At 37.8% G+C, this 22,741-nt stretch overlaps 1 protein-coding gene across 21 annotated transcripts in view; it reads right to left on the reverse strand.

Annotated features, from left to right (window-relative positions):
- Window positions 1-22,741, reverse strand: part of DMD (dystrophin) — a 2,220,167-nt gene that overhangs the window by 381,839 nt on the left and 1,815,587 nt on the right. For 20 of the 21 annotated variants that reach the window (XM_006724469.4, NM_000109.4, XM_011545467.2 and 17 more), the window contains 1 exon segment: window positions 6,221-6,393. In XM_006724469.4, the coding sequence (XP_006724532.1) occupies window positions 6,221-6,393 (173 nt within the window). 21 annotated transcript variants of the gene reach the window in all.

The following is a 22,741-nucleotide window of genomic DNA, read 5'->3' on the forward strand; positions in this document are numbered from 1 at the left end:
ATCCCAGCAGTCAAGTTTCAGCTAATCACAGGCTGTAAACTGATCAGCTCATGTCCATATAAGGCAAATGCCTATTTACACTATGCCCAAGTAAGGCAAATTCTAAGCTGTAACCAGTCAAGCTGTTTCTGTATGTCACTTCCTTTTTCTATCTATAAATACTGCCTGCCCACCTTGCTGGGTGGAGCTTTCTGAACTTCTAATTCTGAGTACTGTCTGATTCATGAATTGTTTTTTGCTCAAATAAACTCTGCAAAACGGAATTTGTCTAAAGTTTGTCTTTTAACATTGCTAATTGTCAAATATATTCTGCTTACTCCTACCCACTCAACGGAAAATAAAAGAGGTGGTTCAAAGGGGCATGCTTAGCTTCTATCTATGTCTATTAATCTTTATTAGTGAAGACAAGAGCTTAGGGGTTACTACCGTTTAACAAGGCAAGTGCTAATCTCTAAAAAGCTGATAATTTCCACAATTTGTAAGGTTTAGGTAAAACGCAGAGCCTTTAGATGTGCTGGAGTATATTGCTTGGTCTTTAAGGAACTCCTCAGTGTCAGGACACTAAGAATTATAGGGGCTGATAAAGTGATTGTTATTTCTCTAGACACAGATATTTCAACTGTGATTTGGTTAATGCCTAGTTTGAAATCCTTAATAAAACTTTACTCTGAAAGGCATGCATTCTTAAAGTGAAATGTGTTATATTGAATTCATTTTTCACTTTGACTTCCTTTATAAAACTAATGATATATCCCTATAAATCTTTAGTACCCTCATGTAATAAAATAGCACTTAAACATGCAGAAAGAAAAGGGAGGAATGCAGAAATAATAAAGAACCACAATACTGCCATAAAAACAGACACAAAGACCCATGGAAAAGACTAGAGAACCCAAAAACGAATCCACACACCTACAGTTAACTCATTTTTGACAAAGGTGCCAAGAACATACAGTGGGGAAAAGACAGTCTCTTCAACAAATGGTGCGGAAAAACTGGATATCCATATGCAGAATGAATCTAGACCCCTATCTCTCACCATATACAAAAATCAAATCAAAGTAGATTAAAGACTTAAATGTAAGACCTCAAACCATGAAACTACTACAAGAGAACACTGAGAAAAATCTCCAGGGTGTCATCAACAGATGAATAATTTGAATTTGTACTTCAGAAACAAAAAAAATTAAAGAACCACAGAATTAAAATGGGAGCTATCTCTTTAAATAGAGAGAATCCCAAAGAGAAGTCAACATTTTTTTTTTCTAGACAGGTCTTGAACTCCAACATCCAAACATAATTAACATTCTAAAAGAGAGAGAAAGAAGGTCAGAGATATTCAATGTCCAAGTTGCAGTTTTCTCTCAAAGGTAGACCCCACCTCTTTTTGCCCTTCTTTTGTTCTCCATTATACAAAGACACTAACTATTCTAACCTCTAATAGCAAGCACTCCCCAATAGATTTATGGCTTCTACAGACTATATAATGTCAGTGTCCTTGCCTCTTAATGTTCACAATTGTATAAATGTGAACATTTTATATAACATTTACAAATTTTTCTGCCAAATATAAAAATCTCACATAATGTAAATTCTGCTGAAATTATGTTGATAACATATTATGTGATTTTCATAGTTAATAGTATATACAATGATCTGGAAAAATAATCTAGTAGTAGACTAAATTGAAATCTTCATATATATTTCTTATGTAAAACAATTGACTTGACCACTTCTCAAGTTATTAATATTCTAAAATTAAAAATGCAAGGATTGTGGATATGGAATTTTAGAATGAAAAACACTTTCTTTGACTAATTACCATCTTAATATTGGATAACGTCATCAGTAACTGTGTGTGTATGCATGTGTGTGTACATTTAAGTAAATAATTTTCTCTTTTTCTCCCACTTAAAGCAGTTAATGTTTTCGTTTTGTTTGATGGAACTTAAATTATCACTGACTACTTACTTTTCTTCCTTATACCTCTTGGCCAACATGTGATGTAATAATGCATGTGGAATGATAGCATATACTTTTCTTGAATTAAATTATGAGATAGGATTATACAATTTCAATTAAATTTCTTTTCTCTCAAAGACATCTTAATTACTTTATATAATGCCTTTTAAATCAATCAGTTCTATTTTAATTAAGAAAACCAAGGTAGAAAAATTAAACAATTTTCCAGGTTCATAAAGTGTGATTGCAGAACTAAAAGAATAAAATTGTACGATTGCAAGAGAACTGGAAGAGACTGTCCATATTTCTGGTCAAACTCTTCATTTCAGTGAAGGAGAAAATTGAAGTCTGAAGCAGTTAAGTGACTTGATCAAGATTATATGCTAAGACAGTTAGTGACAGAATAGAACAGAAGGGAAACTGGGTTGCCCAGCTGCTGGCCCATGTCTTTCTACTCTACCATACTCACATATTTCGAGTTTGAAATTTTTGTATTCATATAAGTTAGCTGGAGGCAGTAAGCATAGCCCTATAAAGCAACTCTTGAACACTTGAAGAAACATGTTATCAAGTGTAAATTAGAATAGTATTGGGAAGACCTAGTGAGGAAACAGCCAGAAAAGAAAAGATTTGTTATGGAATATGAATCAAAATTTGGAGAATAAGAGGAAAGAGAATGTTGCAAGTGTGAGAACCAGCAAGGGTACATACTCATATGGGAGAGTGAGGAAATTGTTGGAGAGTAGGAATGGGGTTAGAAAATAGAATTTATTGATTCTCTTGGCTCAGAGAATCTATGTTGGGGAGTAACAGAATGATGCTTGGTGAGAAAGGAACTGGAGGCAGAAAAAGAAAAGAGAAGGGAAGGAGTTAGCAAGGACTTATTAGGCACAGTTGGCAGAGAGAGAAGGTTCTACTAGATTCTAATGATTAAATATAACTTCATTAGAGCAGTGATTTTTTTTGGTATGTTTTATTCATGGTTGCATCCTCCGTGCCCAGAAGAGTGCCTAGTACATAGTAGGCATTCATTAAATATTTGTTGAATGAACAAATAAATGAATGAGGGAGATATGGAGACCTACAAGATTGAAGCTTTGAACAAAAGAGTAATATGATATAAACAGCGTCCAAGGTAGAGTATTCTTGCAAATGTATCAATATGGCATAACATGATGACTTAAATAAGAATCTTAATCACAGGAAGAGAAAAGATGTATGGCAGAAGAAAAATAAATGGAAGGAAAACGATACAATATGGACTTGTATTTGGAAGCACAAGGATATCTCTTATGAGCCAATGGAATACAAAGGGAAACTTCGAAATCATTTGGATTTAAATTCAATTTTGTTTCTTTAAAAATGGACACATTAATGGTTTTATTTTTTTGAAATATAAGAGCAGTTTCAGAATCGCTCACCAAACAATGGGCCAACTGTAATTTTTTATAATATGTTATAACTTGGGCAAACACAGGCCTATTTTTCCAGTATATCATTGAAACTATTTTTTAATTGTGGCAACTTTTCATTTTAAAATAACCCCCATGGAAGAAGTGACAAGATTCATAATGCAGGTTTATCAGTGCCACTAATGGTTCTATATCTAACTCTTCCAGTGTTATTCTATTCTATTTCATAATCATCCCTAATTACTGCCTATACTGTACTTCTCTCAATTGAACCCTGCCATTTGCTGTAGATTGATCAATACCCTAATTTCAATCAAGTGTCAGGAAATAAGCTAAATTGCTTTGATGTGGAGAATTACTTCTTTGCTTTTTATGAGTGCTTATAACATATCCTGTATTATTACATAGGCCTATATAAAAGCCAAAACCATTGATCTGAATATTTAAATTCTAGAATTGGCAGCACCTTAGATAAGCTAACTGTTTTCTACCTGATTAATGACAGCAAGAATCAAACTGCGGTAGCTGACATGGGAAACTGCTGAGAATGAAGAGTCCATATTTTGGCTGACATGCTATTTGCCACTTTCAATTCTCCTTTTATTTTATCAAGTTCACATGAGGCAGAGAAAAGGCACTAAGTGATACTCGGAACAATTATAGCATCTTTCTTTTTCTTTTGTGCAGAAAAGAATAACTTAACTTGACCTGCCAATATTTTTTCCATCTCACATTTTCATTCTTTTTTAATGACGAAGGTTATCAAAGTGGCCTACGTCATCACACATACTGACCTCTCTTAAGAGTTTAAGCTGTAGAAAGCTAATAGAGCCTCCCTATCTTTGAAAATGCTATTGCCATTGTTGCTCCCAGTGTACCACCACCAAGTTGACACAAAATTCATATACAAAATAGGGAGATAAGGAACAATGTCTGGGAAGCCAGGGTGCAAACTTGTGAAAAACAAAACAAAACAAAACCTTATACATAAAAATAAACCTGTTCTACTCCTAGCAATCTACTTCTCATAAAAACAAATCCTTTTCTACTCCTAGAAAAAATCTACTCTCTATTTCATCCTTTCAATTAGTATGCATTTCTTTGTAGAAGTTTCCTTCTTTCTTTATATGCTACGGTATCATATGGTGGTTAAAAGTTCAGACTCTGAAGTCAGACTCCCTGATTTCTTTTTCTTTTACTTTTTTCTTTTTTCTTTTGAGACAGAGTCTCACTCTGTCCCCTAGGCTGGAGTGAAGTGGTGCGATCTCGGCTCACTGCAACCTCCACCTCCCGGGTTCAAGCGATTCTCCTGCCTCAGCCTCCTGAGTAGCTGGGACTACAGGCGCGTGCCACCATGCCCAGCTAATTTTTGTATTTTTGGTAGAGACGGGATTTCACCATGTTGGCCAGGATGGTCTCGATCTCTTGACCTCGTGATCCACCTGCCTCGGCCTCCCAAAGTGCTGGGATTACAGGCGTGAGCCACTACGCCTGGCCCACCCAGACTCCCTGTTTTCATCTTGTATCTTCCACTTGCTAAGTGACCCTAAGGAAATTATTTAGCCTCTCTGTGCCTCACTTTCTTCAAATGTAAAAAGAATTCAATAATAAAATCTACCTCTTAGGGTTGCTGAGAGCATTAAACCGGTCAATGAATGGAAAGTGCTTATGGCATTGCGTGGTATGTAGGTACATCATGTAAATATTAGTTGCTATCATTATTTCATACTTGATGCAGACATTTACAATAGTGCTTCTGAATTACTAAAAATGCAGATTTTCCTCCTTATAGAAGTATATATGTTAAAATTTTGGACAAGTTAGAAGAACTATAAAGAAGAAAAAAAATCTCCCTTCTGTAATCTTTCTACCTAGAGGTAGTAACTACTCCCGTCATTTAGTGTATACTCCCATAACTATTATTAAGTCCATTTGGTCATCTTCTACCTCCCTTCATTATCACTTTTTCTCTAGACACAGAAGAAAGCACAAAATATTTTTAATAAAGAGAAATGAATTAAGAAAGGCAACTGCTTAGAAAGCAGGAAGCCTGGCTTTCATTCCCCGCCCTTGCTAGATCATTTAAGTTACAATGGGCGTTTTACTTACTATCTCTATCCTTTTGTTCCTCCACGGAACTATTGCAAAACTGGTATAACAAGAACTTCCCTCTGCCCTTTTTACAAAGATGCTATGATGCATCCATTAACTAACTTCTCCAAAGAAAGCTGGCACATAGAAGGGGGCAAAATATAAAGTATGTGAGTATACTACAACTAAAAGCTTAGTTTACAGAGGATGTGTTTTAACAAAATCTGAGAGGAAGCAAAAGACAGGAAGTTGCTATAGTCTCTCTTTAACTGTAGGAGCTATCTCCTCTAAACTGTTAATTATAATGTGTTACAGGTTTTATATTATATAATTGTAATGTGTTATAAAGGGTTTTAAAGACTGTCCTCTGGTATGCATTTAGACTAATGCCAAAAATAATTCCATAATACATATCCGTTAATTTTTTATCACTTTTTGTATAACCCTGTGATATGCCAAGAGAGAAATTTATGAAACTAGAATAGCTGCACTCCTCATTTAAATTCACTCTGATGTCTTAATATGCATGTCTCCTATGTTTATAAAACATTACCACTTTAATCTAATCTGAATCCTCAAGTATCATCTCCATACCAAGCAAATAAATGATTCATTTATTCAAAATACAGTGAATCATTCTGAAATTGGATGATTTACGTAGACATGTGAGATACCAGTTACTTGTGCTAAGACAATGAGGAAAATTTGGCCATTTTAATTCATTTGTGGCCTTTTTGCTCCACATCTTTTCCTACCTAATGTTGAGAGACTTTTTCCGAAGTTCACTCCACTTGAAGTTCATGTTATCCAAACGTCTTTGTAACAGGACTGCATCATCGGAACCTTCCAGGGATCTCAGGATTTTTTGGCTGTTTTCATCCAGGTTGTGATAAACATCTGTGTGAGCTTCAATTTCACCTTGGAGGTCCTACAGGACAGCAGGAAGAAGAATATGTGCAGAATTACCAAACAAAAGAAACAAGCGATGAATGTGAATTTGGAGAATTGCAAAATATAAATAATTATTAGTTCAAAAGACATTTCAATCAGGCTAAACTAACAAGAAGATACATCTCAAATCCCTTTTCTTGGCGTATTGCCTTCTCCTGTTATTATGTAGATTTAAAATGGGCATCTTATTAGTTGTAATAGATTTATTCCTTGCCATTATGAGTTGGAAAGTAATGTATTTATAACTTTATAAAGTTCACAAGTTATATCTTCTAGTCTATGGACAAAATGTATTATTTTATGGAAGTGATAGGCAATAAAATTCTATGATAAAGTGTACCCCAGTGCCAATAATTTCATTACTATATGGATCAAGTCATATTTTCTATTTACGTAGTAATCTGTAGAGTTAACTCTGACCATAAAAGCGTGGAGAGACTAATAAACAAGATTGCACTTGGCCCACAGCACCAGCACATTCCTGGGAGTCTGTCATGGGAGAGAAAATCTTCTTGACAACACAAATTAAGTTCACCTTGGTATTATAGCATCATACATATAGTACAGCATCATACATTTATTAGTTTTGATTTCCCATTTAATACACATTTTTAGGCTTGACAGGTGGAAAGTACATAGGACCTTGGTAAGAGTTATGATAAGAGGTTATGCATTCAACTTCACTTGTATACACACAGATCAAGAAAATTATTATAGTAGAAGAATCTGACCTTTACATGGTATGTCTTCCTGTGTAACATTTTCAGCTTGAACCGGGCACTACAGCACTGATCCTGTTGCATAGCAATCCTGAGAAAACCCAGAAACTGAAAGAGCCCTGCTTTAAAATGCCAACTTTGCTTACATTCTGTTGACAGAATGAATTTTGGAGCACAGGCCTCACCAGTCAATAATAATAAACGGCCACTTTGTACTCCGCACTAAACAGTAGCCAGGCGTGTGGATGTGGGAGGAACCTCAAAGAGAGGAGGCCTGGAATATGCAACTGACAGTTTATATTAAACAGCCAACTTTTCTTATCATTCTGCCATTACAAGCCAGAGACATTATAAATTCATTTTATATATGTGTTTCCTTCCTTGTTCCCAGCAGAATAGTCAAAGCCAAGGGAACATTCCTCAGAGAGCTGCCGGGTACCAGCATTCCTTTCTGCCTACACAATGAATGGAGGCTTTGTATATTATCTGACTTGCTCTTAGAGATTTGTATGCTTCTGTTCAACAAGTTTAAAAATTCATTCTGAAGCTCCAAACAATTGGATTGATCTGTGTAACTAGAAAAGTTTTTTTTTTCTCTCTCTCTCTCAAATTGAATTAAATTACTCTGCTAAAGTAAGGGAGAAAAAGTGGCAGAAATAACATGTTAGAAATTCTGAAGAACTGGCTCAAGTTTTCAGCCACAGCCTCTTAAGATGCAGAATTCTGAATGTTGAACAAGTAAGGTAGACAGACAATGAATGTCTATTGTCACTATTTTTGGCAGCTAAAGCATCACTGATGGACTCTAAAGAGAGTTGTGTCCCATTCTCTTTGACTGGGAGACAGGCAGGGGAATATGGATAGAATCACATCAGAAGTTGAAAGAAGGGAAATACTGAAAGTATTTCTGAGTAGTATCTCTGAGTAGTACAAACCAGGTTTGTACTGGAAGGATATAGCCTGATTTTGAAAGTAGTTTATATGGTAGAAGGTTAGTATTGGGATTCTTGCAGAACGAAGTTTGGTCAAATATATAGCCATTTTATGTTTTTCTTTCTTTTTTCCTTTTGCCTACGTGGAATAACATGCCTGCCTAATTTGCACTTCTTCAGCAAAAGAGAAAAGTGAGTTAATTTATCTAAGTACTTCAGGAGAAAAAGCCAACCAGATCTAAGTTCCAGATAATTCCTTCACTTGTCTTTTACTTTACTTCTTCTGTTGTACTTGATTTGTACAGTACTTTCCTTTTGTGTATGCACTTAGGGGATTAAAGACAAACTTTTAGTTGTTCAAGTAAAAGTATTCTCACTAGTAGCATCAGTTTTCTATGTTTACTACATTAACATACATATAAAGGATAGTACATTTGAAATTTATATCCTACATTGATAGCAGAGACCCAGGCTCAATCACGAGCTCCTTAAGGTTATGTATACCATGAAGTCACCAACACTTTCTTTGTCTTCTCAAGCATAAATAGGATGTTGATTCATGAATTTGCTACTTTTCATCTTTGCCATATATATTATACTGCATATAAACATCTTTGTTGTATTATCAACAAATAAATGAATATAAAATTGATAAACAAGCATTTATTGAGGACTGATTTATTGTCTAGTTTTAGCACTTTGGGAAATGTAAGAGGAGTACAAATGATAGTTCTGTCTTTAATTTTCCTAAAACCTAGTGTGCATTTTTGTTTAATTCGTTTATATTACCAACTAAATATTGACGGCAATTCCTGCCAAGTCTTCATAGATACTGGGATAAAGACTCCTTCCTTTAGAAATGCAGAAATGGCTAAAGTTATCTTAGCATTGGCAAGAAGATAAGTCTTCTGTCAGTACTGCTTTTCTAGGTCATGATGGTGATACAGAGCTGTAAATGACACGTGTACAGTAAAGGGCTTTACAGGTTACAAAGCACGTACAAATGTACCACCTTAGTTATTCCTCCCCCTGGCTCTGTGAAGTACATCACATTTTCTGTTTTGCAGATGAGAGCACTGAGACTCGGATGTTTAACTGACTTGCCTAAAAGCCATATAGCTGATAAGTGTTAGAACTGGGAAATGGATCCAATTCTCTTGATTCTAGAAGATCTTGGGCTGCCTCCACCAACCCACTTGCCAGAAGCATTGGATATAATACACAGTAGTCACTGAACCTGAACGAAGATACTACTTGCAAGAGGAAATAAGTGACTGTTGAGGGAAAAGCACCCTGAAAGACAGCATTCTTGAGTTTGATAAAATGTTTACCCACGTGGATTGATTTGTTCTGAATGAAAAATTGAATTCTGACTGCTCTTTTTTTTTTTTTTTTTTTGAGACAGAGTCTCGCTCTGTCACCCAGGCTGGAGCACAGTGGCGCGATCTTGGCTCACTGCAAGCTCCGCCTCCCAGGTTCACGCCATTCTCCTGCCTCAGCCTCCCAAGTAGCTGGGACTATAGGCGCCCGCCACCACGCCTGGCTAATTTTTTTTGTATTTTTAGTAGAAACAGGGTTTCACCATGTTAGCCAGGATGGTCTCGATCTCCTGACCTCGTGATCCGCCCACCTTGGCCTCCCAAAGTGCTTGGATTACAGGCGTGAGCCACCACACCTGGCCCTGATTGCTCTTTTCACTTCTCATTTAGCATTGGGCATCCTGGACCACCTGTGAGCAAAAAATGTTCACACTGAAAAGGTCTCCTTTCTGCAAATTTCCCTGTTGCCAGAACAGAAATTCTGCCATCAGTAATTCATCTCTTTGTCTACAAGAGCCATGTGGACTACTATGAACCATACCAAGAAATGACTTGACACATCAGCATAAACATAGTTCATCCATGTTCCTTTGGGATGGCAGGCTGGTAGGAAATCTTTCAAGCTACAGGACTCAGATAGGTTGCCCTAAAAGGAAGGTAAGTATTGGGAAAGAACCCAAGGCTCTCTTTCAAAAGCTGGCATGCTGTAGTGGAGATTTTTCAGTATCAATAAGGCAGCATGAGTCATAGATTGGGAATGCAGGGCAGGCTGCAAGGAATATACATTATACATAATATAATATAATATAATATAACATAACATAATATAATACTACCATAATGATATTTGTCTAAACTCATCATTTTTTATTTATTTATTTATTTATTTATTATTATTATTATACTTTAAATTTTAGGGTACATGTGCACAACGTGCAGGTTAGTTACATATGTATACATGTGCCATGCTGGTGCGCTGCACCCACTAACTCATCATCTAGCATTAGGTATATCTCCCAATGCTATCCCTCCCCCCTCCCCCCACCCCACAACAGTCCCCAGAGTGTGATGTTCCCCTTCCTGTGTCCATGTGTTCTCATTGTTCAATTCCCACCTATGAGTGAGAATATGCGGTGTTTGGTGTTCTGTTCTTGTGATAGTTTACTGAGAATAATGATTTCCAATTTCATCCATGTCCCTACAAAGGATGTGAACTCATCCTTTTTTTATGGCTGCATAGTATTCCATGGTGTATATGTGCCACATTTTCTTAATCCAGTCTATCACTGTTGGACATTTGGGTTGGTTCCAAGTCTTTGCTATTGTGAATAGTGCCGCAATAAACATACGTGTGCATGTGTCTTTATAGCAGCATGATTTATAGTCCTTTGGGTATATACCCAGTAATGGGATGGCTGGGTCAAATGGTATTTCTAGTTCTAGATCCCTGAGGAATCGCCACACTGACTTCCACAATGGTTGAACTAGTTTACAGTCCCACCAACAGTGTAGAAGTGTTCCTATTTCTCCACATCCTCTCCAGCACCTGTTGTTTCCTGACTTTTAAATGATTGCCATTCTAACTGGTGTGAGATGGTATCTCATTGTGGTTTTGATTTGCATTTCTCTGATGGCCAGTGATGGTGAGCATTTTTTCATGTGTCTTTTGGCTGCATAAATGTCTTCTTTTGAGAAGTGTCTGTTCATGTCCTTCACCCACTTTTTGATGGGGTTGTTTGTTTTTTTCTTGTACATTTGTTTGAGTTCATTGTAGATTCTGGATATTAGCCCTTTGTCAGATGAGTAGGTTGCGAAAATTTTCTCCCATGTTGTAGGTTGCCTGTTCACTCTGATGGTAGTTTCTTTTGCTGTGCAGAAGCTCTTTAGTTTAATTAGATCCCATTTGTCAATTCTGGCTTTTGTTGCCATTGCTTTTGGTGTTTTAGACATGAAGTCCTTGCCCATGCCTATGTCCTGAATGGTAATGCCTAGGTTTTCTTCTAGGGTTTTTATGGTTTTAGGTCTAACGTTTAAGTCTTTAATCCATCTTGAATTGATTTTTGTATAAGGTGTAAGGAAGGGATCCAGTTTCAGCTTTCTACATATGGCTAGCCAGTTTTCCCAGCACCATTTATTAAATAGGGAATCCTTTCCCCATTGCTTGTTTTTCTCAGGTTTGTTAAAGATCAGATAGTTGTAGATATGCGGCATTATTTCTGAGGGCTCTGTTCTGTTCCACTGATCTATATCTCTGTTTTGGTACCAGTACCATGTTGTTTTGGTTACTGTAGCCTTGTAGTATAGTTTGAAGTCAGCTAGTGTGATGCCTCCAGCTTTGTTCTTTTGGCTCAGGATTGACTTGGCGATGTGGGCTCTTTTTTGGTTCCATATGAACTTTAAAGTAGTTTTTTCCAATTCTGTGAAGAAAGGCATTGGTAGCTTGATGGGGATGGCATTGAATCTGTAAATCACCTTGGGCAGTATGGCCATTTTCACAATATTGATTCTTCCTACCCATGAGCATGGAATGTTCTTCCATTTGTTTGTGTCCTCTTTTATTTCCTTGAGCAGTGGTTTGTAGTTCTCCTTGAAGAGGTCCTTCACATCCCTTGTAAGTTGCATTCCTAGGTATTTTATTCTCTTTGAAGCAATTGTGAATGGGAGTTCACTCATGATTTGGCTCTCTGTTTGTCTGTTGTTGGTGTATAAGAATGCTTGTGATTTTTGTACATTGATTTTGTATCCTGAGACTTTGCTGAAGTTGCTTATCAGCTTAAGGAGATTTTGGGCTGAGACGATGGGGTTTTCTAGATATACAATCATGTCGTCTGCAAACAGGGACAATTTGACTTCCTCTTTTCCTAATTGAATACCCTTTATTTCCTTCTCCTGCCTGATTGCCCTGGCCAGAACTTCCAACACTATGTTGAATAGGAGTGGTGAGAGAGGGCATCCCTGTCTTGTGCCAATAAACTCATCATTTAAAGACTACACCTCAGACTCAGGTAGCACAAAAGAGCAAAAGATTGATATGGAGAATCAAGTGGAGTTCTCAGTGGGTAGCCAATCTGGACAAAGGATAATTTTCATAGAAATTTTTGGATAGTTTTATTTCACTTCTGACTTAACTAGAAAAGATCATTCAAGCCTTCATTACTGCATTCACTGTATGCTCTCTAATTTTTTTCTTCTTTTTTGTGATTGTAGTCTTTAGGAAAAGCAATAACGAATGAACAAAGGGGAAAAGGTAGTTGTTACATAACAAAAACCATAGCAGCAGCAGCAGCAGCAAGAACAACAACATACATGAACCTTACTGTACATCAGGTGCTGTCCAAAGCACTGTATATACATGAGCTCATTTTCTCCTCTCAACAACCCTCTAGGGTAGGGGCTACTATTATCTTCATTTTCCATATAAGATAATGAAACTACTGTAAGGTTAACTAAAAATGCCCAGGTTCACACAGCTAATAAATGCAGCAAGATTTAGAACCTCGTCAGTCAGACTTCAGGGATTGTGCTCTTAGCCACTAGGCTATATTACCTTTCAAGTTTAGTTGTTGGTGGTAGTTTTTCCTATTAATAATGCTACTACCTAAATTTTAGCAAATCTAGCACTGCCATTAGAAAATAAAGGATAACTATGTCAGCACACAAAGAGCAATTTCATGGTCTTATTAATATAAAGACTATTAAACAGATTTGTAGCAGTGGATAGAGATGCATCCAATACAACAAGAGAAAACACAAAGTAATTGAGAAAATGGGTGCAAACGAAACAAATAATGTGTGTCCCCATAAAAGAAACATTTGGCCTAAAGTTCTGTACAATTATAGAGCAAATTTCAGCTGAGAGTACCAAAAAAGTTCAGTTATGAGACAAGCAATATGTTCACAGTATAGCAGTTTTAGGAGTAGGGGAGATCCTGTTTTCTGAAGGGCTTTTTCAAATTCCACACTTCCTTCTTATCTGAGTCTCATCTACTCTTGTTGTGAATCTCCTTTCTCAGCTTCCAGAGAAAACTCATGGCAAAGTGCAGTTAAATAGACATAGGTTTGACCCTTCTCTTCTCTTTCCCTTATTAGCCACATAATGATGAAAACTCTTTCATTACTTTGGTTTCACTAAACATGAAATAATAATACATACCTGCTGAATTTTTTGAATATTACATGGAATTTTTGTAAAATACTTTGAATAGCGTCTAGAACACAAGAGATCTTTAATAAATAATAGCAAATGCAGGGCTTACTATTACAAGATAATCCATGTGGAAATCAGATGTTAGAAATAGATTTCATGAAGTTACAGGACTTGGCTTGAGCCTTGAGGGATGTATACGATTGGGAAATTGGAACAAAAGAAAATATTCCAGGTAAAAAGAATAGCATGGGAATGGAGTAAAGGTGAAATGAATTTGGTTTATGAGCAGGGACAATGAATTGCACAACCTGATTGGAATGGACAATGAGAGTTGAGAGAAATAGGTAGAATGCAGACCAACTGCTTAAACCAAGTAGAATAAAGTCTTCCTTTAGGAAGCCACCGAGAATAAAAGTTTAGAAAGAAAAGTACAAAGACAAGATTATCGAATATTAAATTTGTACTATTTCATTCAAAAAGTAGAATGATCCATGGTGTTCATAAGTAATAATACAACTGGGGAAGAATAGGAAAAGTTATGGATGTTTTACTAGAAGAAAAATAAAGAAGGGAGATGTCAAGAATTAGTGCTGTACCCTTCTTTTTATTATTAACCATTTTATTAACCATTAAGCAGATGGTTGTGATACTATTCTAGAACATCATGAATAATCGTATCCACATATTTCCTTTCCTATGTAAATGGAATTATTGGTCTCTAAAATAGGACTCAGCAAATGAAAACTTCCCCATTTTAATATAGCTGAGAAGTAAGGAAACAAACACAATGGTGTAGAAAGAATAACAATAAGTGACCAAATCTCCTTAAGAATTTTATTATAGACAGATTATCTCTAAGCTTTTCTGAAAGCAGTTAGTATATGAATAATTATAAGGCCATTAGTTCCTCCTTACTGATAATTTTTATCTAATTTAAATTAGCTTGATGGGAAAAAAAGTGGTCTGATTTCTAAGAACTTAGAAGGTCAGGAACATACAATTCAAAATAGTAAAGAAATTATCCTAAGTGGCTAAATTGAGAGTAGGAAGAAGTGACACCTTACAGAGAATCAGAAAGGTGTAAAAGGAGCCATGGGCATGCATAATTGACCAGGGTCACACAGTGTGGAAACTAACAGCTCTCCATGCATCAGTAGCCCTTGAAGGCATCACCTCGTTTTATAGCGAAGCAAAATAGTTAATGCTCAGGATGATGATGCTGAATTAGCCAGGGAAAGCAGATTTACATTCAGTAAAATCTGTTTAAGAAGAAAGCAGTGTATGTAAATGCTTCAAATGACCAAATGACTGTTATTTGATACAGTTGTTTTGAAAAGGTGTTAATGATTTAAATAAAAATAAAACAAAAACAATTATATGAAAGTAGAACTCCCTTAGACTGGTTATCCAACATGACTCATTAAACATGAGCTCTAAATAGTAGAGCTTTTGGAGCACACTTGCATACACTCATACGTATACACACACAGAAACAGATATTCTATTATGAAGACATAAGAACAGAAATTGAAAGCAAATCTTTAGAAACGTGTACAGCAATCTAAAAATAAAAAGCATCGGCTTAAATTTTGTATGTCTGGTATTTGTAATTTTTAAAATAATTCATTTTTATTGCATGTTACAAAAGTATCAGTCTATTATGGATTGGGAATTAAAACAAGCGCAAAAAAAAAAAAAAAAAAACCCGAAGTGGATCTTTCCTAACAAGTTTTTCGAGAAGAATCCATAGGAAGAAATTGGACCCACAGTCTTGGCCTTATCAGGATTCTAATCTAACCACCGGAGGTTCCTAACCAGATCAGAAAATGCAGTTGGATACAGACTCACAAGAGGGTGTGACTGTTTTTTCCCTTCTTATTCTATATGTGGCCACGCAACACCTTTAAAAGCAGCAGAGTTGTCGTCCCAAGAGAAACAAGAGTTAATTTGAGGACTGCTGTTTGGCTTGGAGCCTGGTTGCTCTAGGTAGATAAGGAGTATGTTTTCAGGTCCACTGCATTGCGTTGCATCTTAAACGAGCAGCTATGGATTTAGGAGTCCACAGGCTTTGCTTTAAAAACGGCTGTTATTAAAGTCCTCAGAGACTATTATCCTGCAGGGTTTGTTGTCTTTGCTTTCATATCTCATTCGAAAATTCTCACACTTAAGCACTGCAACAGCAGAGAGAAGGGATATGCTCTCTCAGCAGGGAGAAGGGATATGCTTTCTTGCCTCAGTATATTCCCAAGTGCAAAGCTTCATTTCAAAATCTAATCTTTAAAAATGCCTGGCCTAGGGTGGATTACCCCCGGAGGAAACTGTCAAACCGCCTTAAGCAATCCCGAACTCTGGTAATACGTGATGCTTTCTCTCCTTGTGTGACCCTCTGACTCCATTCTTAAGATTACCTTTTAAAACTGATGAGTTCATTTAAGATCTCCTAGGTTGGAAGTAAGATGAGAGGTATCTTTCTCATCTACGTCTTGTTTTTCCTAGTTTCTTCTCATCCAGTCACAATGCAAAAATTCCCGAATATTTATTCATCACAAAAATGTGCATTAAGTACCTATTGTATGTCTATAAGTAGGGCCGATAATACCTACCTTTTAAGGTTTTGGCAAAGATTAGATGAGATGATGTGAGTAGATCAACCAAGTACCTAACCCAATGCCTAACCTATTGTGAGGTTTCATTAATGTTGCATCCTTCTAGTCCCCCTCTCACTTTCTGCCATGACTCCAATCCTGCTAGCAGAGAAGATATGAGGCCGTTCAAAAGAAAACGAATACCTACTGCATGAAGATGGGAGCCAGAGCTACAGGCAGGAGCTAAGAGGTAGTTCTCAGGAAGTTCAGGTTCAAAGGGTACAGTGTAGCCAATGAGAGCTTAGAATGCCGCCTGGAGATTTTTATCTGATTCTGTAAGGATAATATTCCACTGTAGCTTCTTGTGTAAAGGTGTAACATTGTGAAAATAGCATCTGGTAATGATTATTGGGAGGATGGTGTTCAGGGTAAATGTAGCAGGGTCAGAGTGAAGGCAGGAAGTCTAGTGGACAGGCAGTCCCAGCCATACAGGAACCAAAACAGCAGTGGCTTCAGAATCAGAGAGAAGGTAAAGAAGAGGGATGCTACCATCATTGAGTGCTCATAAGTTATAAAAATAGCTGCATGTGTGATTTAATTCCATCCTTCTCTTGTCCTACCTTTGGAAGGTAGAATTCAGGAAAGTGATAACTATTCACAAGTACATTTTAAAGATAGAAATGTTATTTAAAGTTCTATTTCTCAAGGAGTAAGAAAAAAATACATATGCTGTGTTTCAAACACACACACACACACACACACACACACACACACACACACACACACCTTGGGGCCAAATAAATTAGAATGACAAAACCATTGACACCAAATGACAAGGGCATTGACATCAAAGCTCCATATAGGCACAGGTGACTCCCACCTAAAATATACCCTATCAAGCATTCCTAAACTATATGGGTGCCAGTTCTAAAGGACACAATTTCCTGAGAAAAAGTGGGTAGAGTAACACTGCTTCAGATATTTTTAAAAAGAAGCCGTGGACCCAGTGGAGAACTAATGTTGATATTCATTTGGCTCTGCACATAAACTTTAAAAAAGAATGGCATGCCTTTTAATTCTGGTGTTGAAAGAGAAAACGAGTCTTAAAGACAGGCTGAGTTTTCTTTTTTTAATACTGCATCTAAAATCCATAGAAAATACTGTGCTGCAATATTATTTCTGATATTGCTATACAGCCTCAGTGCTCATAATTGGGTGAGCATTTCCTGCATGAGACATCTTTCAGATCAGTGCCAACAGTAATCTTGAAAGACCTTAACATGCAAACCCTAGATTGTACATTTAAGTCACAGAGACAACCACATATGAAAAGTCTACAATGTTGAAGGTACTTTTGGTTTTTTATATTATATTTTATGTGCAGGAATCAGTCTGTTTGAAGAAAACTACCCTTATCTGAGAAAGACCAGATGGGTCTTTCCAACTCTGAGACATATTTGTTTTTGCAGAGCCATGATGAGGGGTGGGGGTAGGGTAGGGGGATGAAACAGGGCAGGAACTAATACTTACAGCCCTTATAAATCCTTTACACCAACTCTATGAAATAGGCCTTCTTTATCCCCTATCGAGGAAACCACGAGTTTGAGAGGTAAAGTAACTTATACAAATCATAGAGTTGTTGTTATGTGGCAGAAGCAGGGTTAGAGCATAGATCTTCCTGAAACTAGGTTATTTTTATTCTCTTCCCTCCAAGCTCCAGTGTCTTCCCCATCCATTAAATACAAAGCAAGTGACTTCTGACTTGGGCTACATGTATCACAGCAACATAATTATAATAACTCATTAAGGCATCTGTGAGATATTTAGTTTCAGAGCACTGATAGGAATGGTCAACAACTGAATAATTTTCCAATTAGGTATTGCTTTTAAAAATTTATCCTTAGTCAACTCAGAACTAATATCATTGATGTTTCTGAATGGTTCTAAATGAACACAATACACTCCTATTCTTCAAATAGGTAACTCTCTTCCCATGGACCAATACATATTTGGTTATATTAATCTGTGCAATTTGTCTATATTACATAGAGAGTTAAAAGCTCGAAAAGCTCTTATTTCTGGAATCTCTTTGTCACTAAGCTATTTTTTGTCCTCCAGAGAATCACTGTGGTTCAAGGTTGTATATTAGAAAAAAGCAATTAGTTGATGTCAAGTCTCATCTTTTCCCAATAACACATATCTAAGAAGAAAGCAAGAACATATGGCAAAGTGCCATAATTATTTTTGATCATACACTAGAAATCACAACAGCCATGTAGGTAATTCCCTCTGGCTTGTTTTAATTATTAGGGTTGTAAATGCAAACAACAACTTCATTCTATCCCCCACTTTACCCCCTAAAAACCTCAAAATACTCCCACGCAACCACAAAACAACCCTACACTGATGTAATTGTTTACAATAGGTTAATGATAGGAAAATCTAAGACATTTCTATTTTTTTCATTTTAAATAGCAGGACAATTTCCAAAATAATCACAGACACTCATCAGACACAACTGTATTCATTTGTGGGTACTCTTTAGCCCACAGCATAGAGATATTAACCTTAAAACTATTTCTAGGTATTCATAAGTTTTGAATGTTAAAGAAGGTTCTAGTACCATGATGTAAACTAAAGTCCTGCTGATATAATTGGATCTGATTCTCTGGTGATCTTCAGTGAGTTAATTTCTGTCTACTACCAAGTAGAGCAAATTCTTTCTTCTGGAGAGTGTGACTTTTGTGTGTGTGCCTAGATAGTTCTTTCATCCTATTTTGCTTTTCTTCTCTTATACAATAGGGTGAACAGTGATGGGGAGAAAACAAAGTTACTCTTTTGTTAATGTATGAGGAAAAGGAGGAAGACAGGGGATATGCATGTGGACACTGATGTAAAGGTAGGTAATATTTGGCATATTTGCCGGGAAAAAAATGTCATAAAGGAAAAGTAGGCAAAATGCTAAGGTACATTTCCTCATTCTTAGAACCCATTCATGAGCTTTCCATTGTGATATGGTTTGGCTTTGTGTCCTCACCCAAATCTCATCTAGAACTGTAATCCGGGGGAACCTGGTGGGAGGTGATTGGATCATGGGGGTGGCTTCCCCCATGCTGTTTTCCCATGTGATAGTGAGTGAGTTCTCATGAGATTTGATGGTTTTATAAGGGGCTCTTCCCATTCACTCTTTCTCTCTCTCTCCTGCTGCCTTGTGAAGGTGCTTCCTTCCCCTTTGCTTTCCACCATGATTATAAGTTTCCTGAGGCCTCCCCAGCCACACAGAACTGTGAGTCAACTAAACCTCTTTTTCTTTAAATAAATTACCCCAGTCTCAGGGAAGTTCTTTATAGCAGTGTGAAACGAACTAATATACATCGTGTATCTATTAATTCTTCCCAAAGCATTCAGTTCAGTTCAGAAGATGCTAGAGACCCTTAGACCATCTCACTGAAGCAGGTCCAGGGTATTTTTTGTGTCCTTGTGCCATGATGCAATGTTCTTTTCTTCTTCTTTTTTTTTGAGACGGAGTCTTGCTCTGTTGCCCAGGCTGGAGTGCAGTGGCGCGATCTCGGCTCACTGCAAGCTCCACCTCCCGGGTTCACGCCATTCTCCTGCCTCAGCCTCCCAAGTAGCTGGGACTACAGGCGCCCGCCACCACGCCCGGCTAATTTTTTGTATTTTAAGTAGATACGGGGTGTCACCATGTTAGCCAGGATGGTCTCGATCTCCTGACCTCGTGATCTGCCCACCTCAGCCTCCCAAAGTGCTGGGATTACAGGCGTTGAGCCACCGCGCCCGGCCGCAATGCTCTTTTCAACTGAGAACAAGTACATTTGGAAAATCATCCCCAAAAGAGCAAGGTTTGGGAAGGCTTAGGCCTTTCCATGCCCATATGACATGTTATATAAGTCTTATGAAGAACTAGAACAGATAAGAGGATGACTTTACAGATTATTTTACAAGAATTTTTACATGAGAATGACTTTTTTTTTTTTTTGAGACAGAGTTTTGCTCTTGTCGCCCAGGCTGGAGTGCAATGGTGTGATCTCGGCTCACTGCAACCTCTGTCCCCCTCCTGGGTTCAAGCGATTCTCCTGCCTCAGCCTCCTGAGTAGCTGGGATTACAGGCACCTGCCACCATGCCCGGCCAGTTTTTTTATTTTTAGTAGAGACAGGGTTTCACCATGTTGGCCAGGCTGGTGTCGAACTCCTAACCTTATGTGACCCACCTGCCTCAGCTTCCCAAAGTGCTGGGATTATAGGCGTGAGCCACTGCACCTGGACTACATTTTAATAACGATTAAAGAACAGTGGAAATCTGCTTCATAACACCCTGAGTAAGAAATGAGAAATTGTAGCTGCATATCAGCATTGTCGCTGACCCTGAGTATAAACGAAGAAGCCTCATGGTGACCCAAACAGAGAATTGTTAACTAAGTCATGTCCATAGTGCTTTACCATGGACAAATGTTTTTGATCCACCCTTCTAAGGCAGGGGTAGAAAAGCTGTTGAAATGTTGTAAATCTCTGCTTGAGTTTGTGATACGGTTTTAAATTTAGCAGAAAAATATTCACCAACAGGAGAATGAGAAACCAACGTGGATAATTATTAATGTTATCCTGAACAGAAAATAAAAAGACTTGCTGAAAAACCTTTCTGCCTGGTTTTGTCAGAGTTCTCTTCCTTTTACACATTCACTTTTTGATGTTTTCCTTTTGTGGGCTGGCAGAAAGATGGGGGTCACTCTAAACTTTTACTAAAAATACTCTTAAAACTACAAGATGTAAGTTCTCTATTTTAAAGAGCCCATAGCCTTCTGAAAAAGTCTTAAGCAAATAAATGAACCAAAATAACATGTGATCATGTTAAACTGGAACACAGCCCTGTGGGAACAAAGAACAATTAGCCTTGCCCCCCAAGATTTGCAGATGCCATCATACAAGTGATGATATTTGATCAGGGTCTTGAGGGATGAGTAGCAGCTGGCCAGGGGAGAAGTGGGAGAGTGAAATTTGAAGCAGTGGGAAAAACATGAATGAAGTTGAAGATAAGACGAGATAAGAATACACATCAGAGCTAAGTAACTCCGGAGGGAAGAGGGGAAGACCCATGGCGGGAAGAGAGACAGAGTGGTAAGATCAAAATTTCTCTCTCTCTCTCTCTCTCTCTCTCTCTCTCTCTCTCTATATATATATATATATATATATAGCTGCACAGGAAGGAGGGCCTGGATTGTGAAGGGGCTTGTGTATCAAGCTAAGGGTTTGGACTTTATCCTGTGAAGATGTCTAATCTGTTTAAGATTTTTTGGTAACATCATCTTGGTGGCAGTGAAAAGGTACATTAGAGGCAAGAACATTAGAGGCAAGAGAATATGGAGATCTAAACTGAGGTAATAGACACAGGATGAGAAAAAGGGAGATATTTTTGAGAGATCATGAATACAACTTAGAGACTGACTGAATGCAAGGATAACATATAGGGAGGCAAGTTGGGTTTCTGGCTTAGAGAAGAAGATGGGGGTGATAATGCTACCTATTATTAAAGTGTTGAATTTCCAAGGAGATGTGAGCAGTTTAACATAGGCTTAGCCTGTCACTTAGTGATAGGGTGTGGAAGGGAGAGTGGTGTTGACCTTTGTCGGGGGGTACGTGTCATCCACTCATGGGCATGGTAGCCTGAAATAGGGGCGGTAAAGAAGGGCCCAGCAGGGAGTCAGACAGTCTATGTTGTCTTTCTTGCTCTCTCAGGCGTCTGTGTTCTTTGTGTCATTCACACGTGCCTGTGAGCGTGAACTTGCATCATGCATCAGTAGTTCCCTTAGTACAGTGGTTCTCAAACTTGAGTGGGCTTGAGAATCACCCAGAGGGCTCATTAAAACACAGGCTGCTGGGCTCCACTCTGAGAGATCATGATTCTGTATGTCTGGGGTAGAACTCAAGAATTTGCATTTCTTAGAAGTTCCCAAGTGATGCCGATACTGCTAGTCCAGAGACCCCATTTTAAGAATGAAACACTGTTCTAGCATAACAGCCCTTAATCTTCTGGAGGTCATGAATGCCTTTATAAGAATGATGGATCTTCTCCTCAAAAACCTGCAGAAATATTTATAAACACAAAATACGACCTATTACTTCACGGGCTTCTGCTACTGCCACCTCCACCTCCACCCCCGGGACATACAATGGATTAATGAAGACAACGTATCCTTCCAGTACCATTTTAAAGGAGAACCCCCAAGAAGAAGAATACATTGGAAAATGGCACCAAAATGTGATTTTACTTATTTAGTTGTCTTAGAATTACTCCCAGTGAGCCTACGTACAAAATGACCCGATTTGGGGAAGGAGACCTGTCAAAGGACAGTTCTTGGGTGCAATGAGGAAATTCATTTCACTCTAACCACATTCAGATAACCTGACCTTTTCCCATTTTAACCTGCCATTCACTTGGGAAGTAACAAATAACAGAGAGGTGGGTGGGTAACCATGGAGAAAAGGGTGCATTCAGCCAGGGGCCTGCCTGTGGAAGGACGGAGCAGTTTGCACCTCGGGGAAAGCGGAGGTAGGGCTCTAGGCTCTCTGTCTGGTAGCCCAGGGAAACAGTTCAAGATCAAAGGAAA

This window comes from Homo sapiens, chromosome X (assembly GCF_000001405.40).
Source record: "Homo sapiens chromosome X, GRCh38.p14 Primary Assembly".
NCBI lineage: Eukaryota > Metazoa > Chordata > Mammalia > Primates > Hominidae > Homo > Homo sapiens.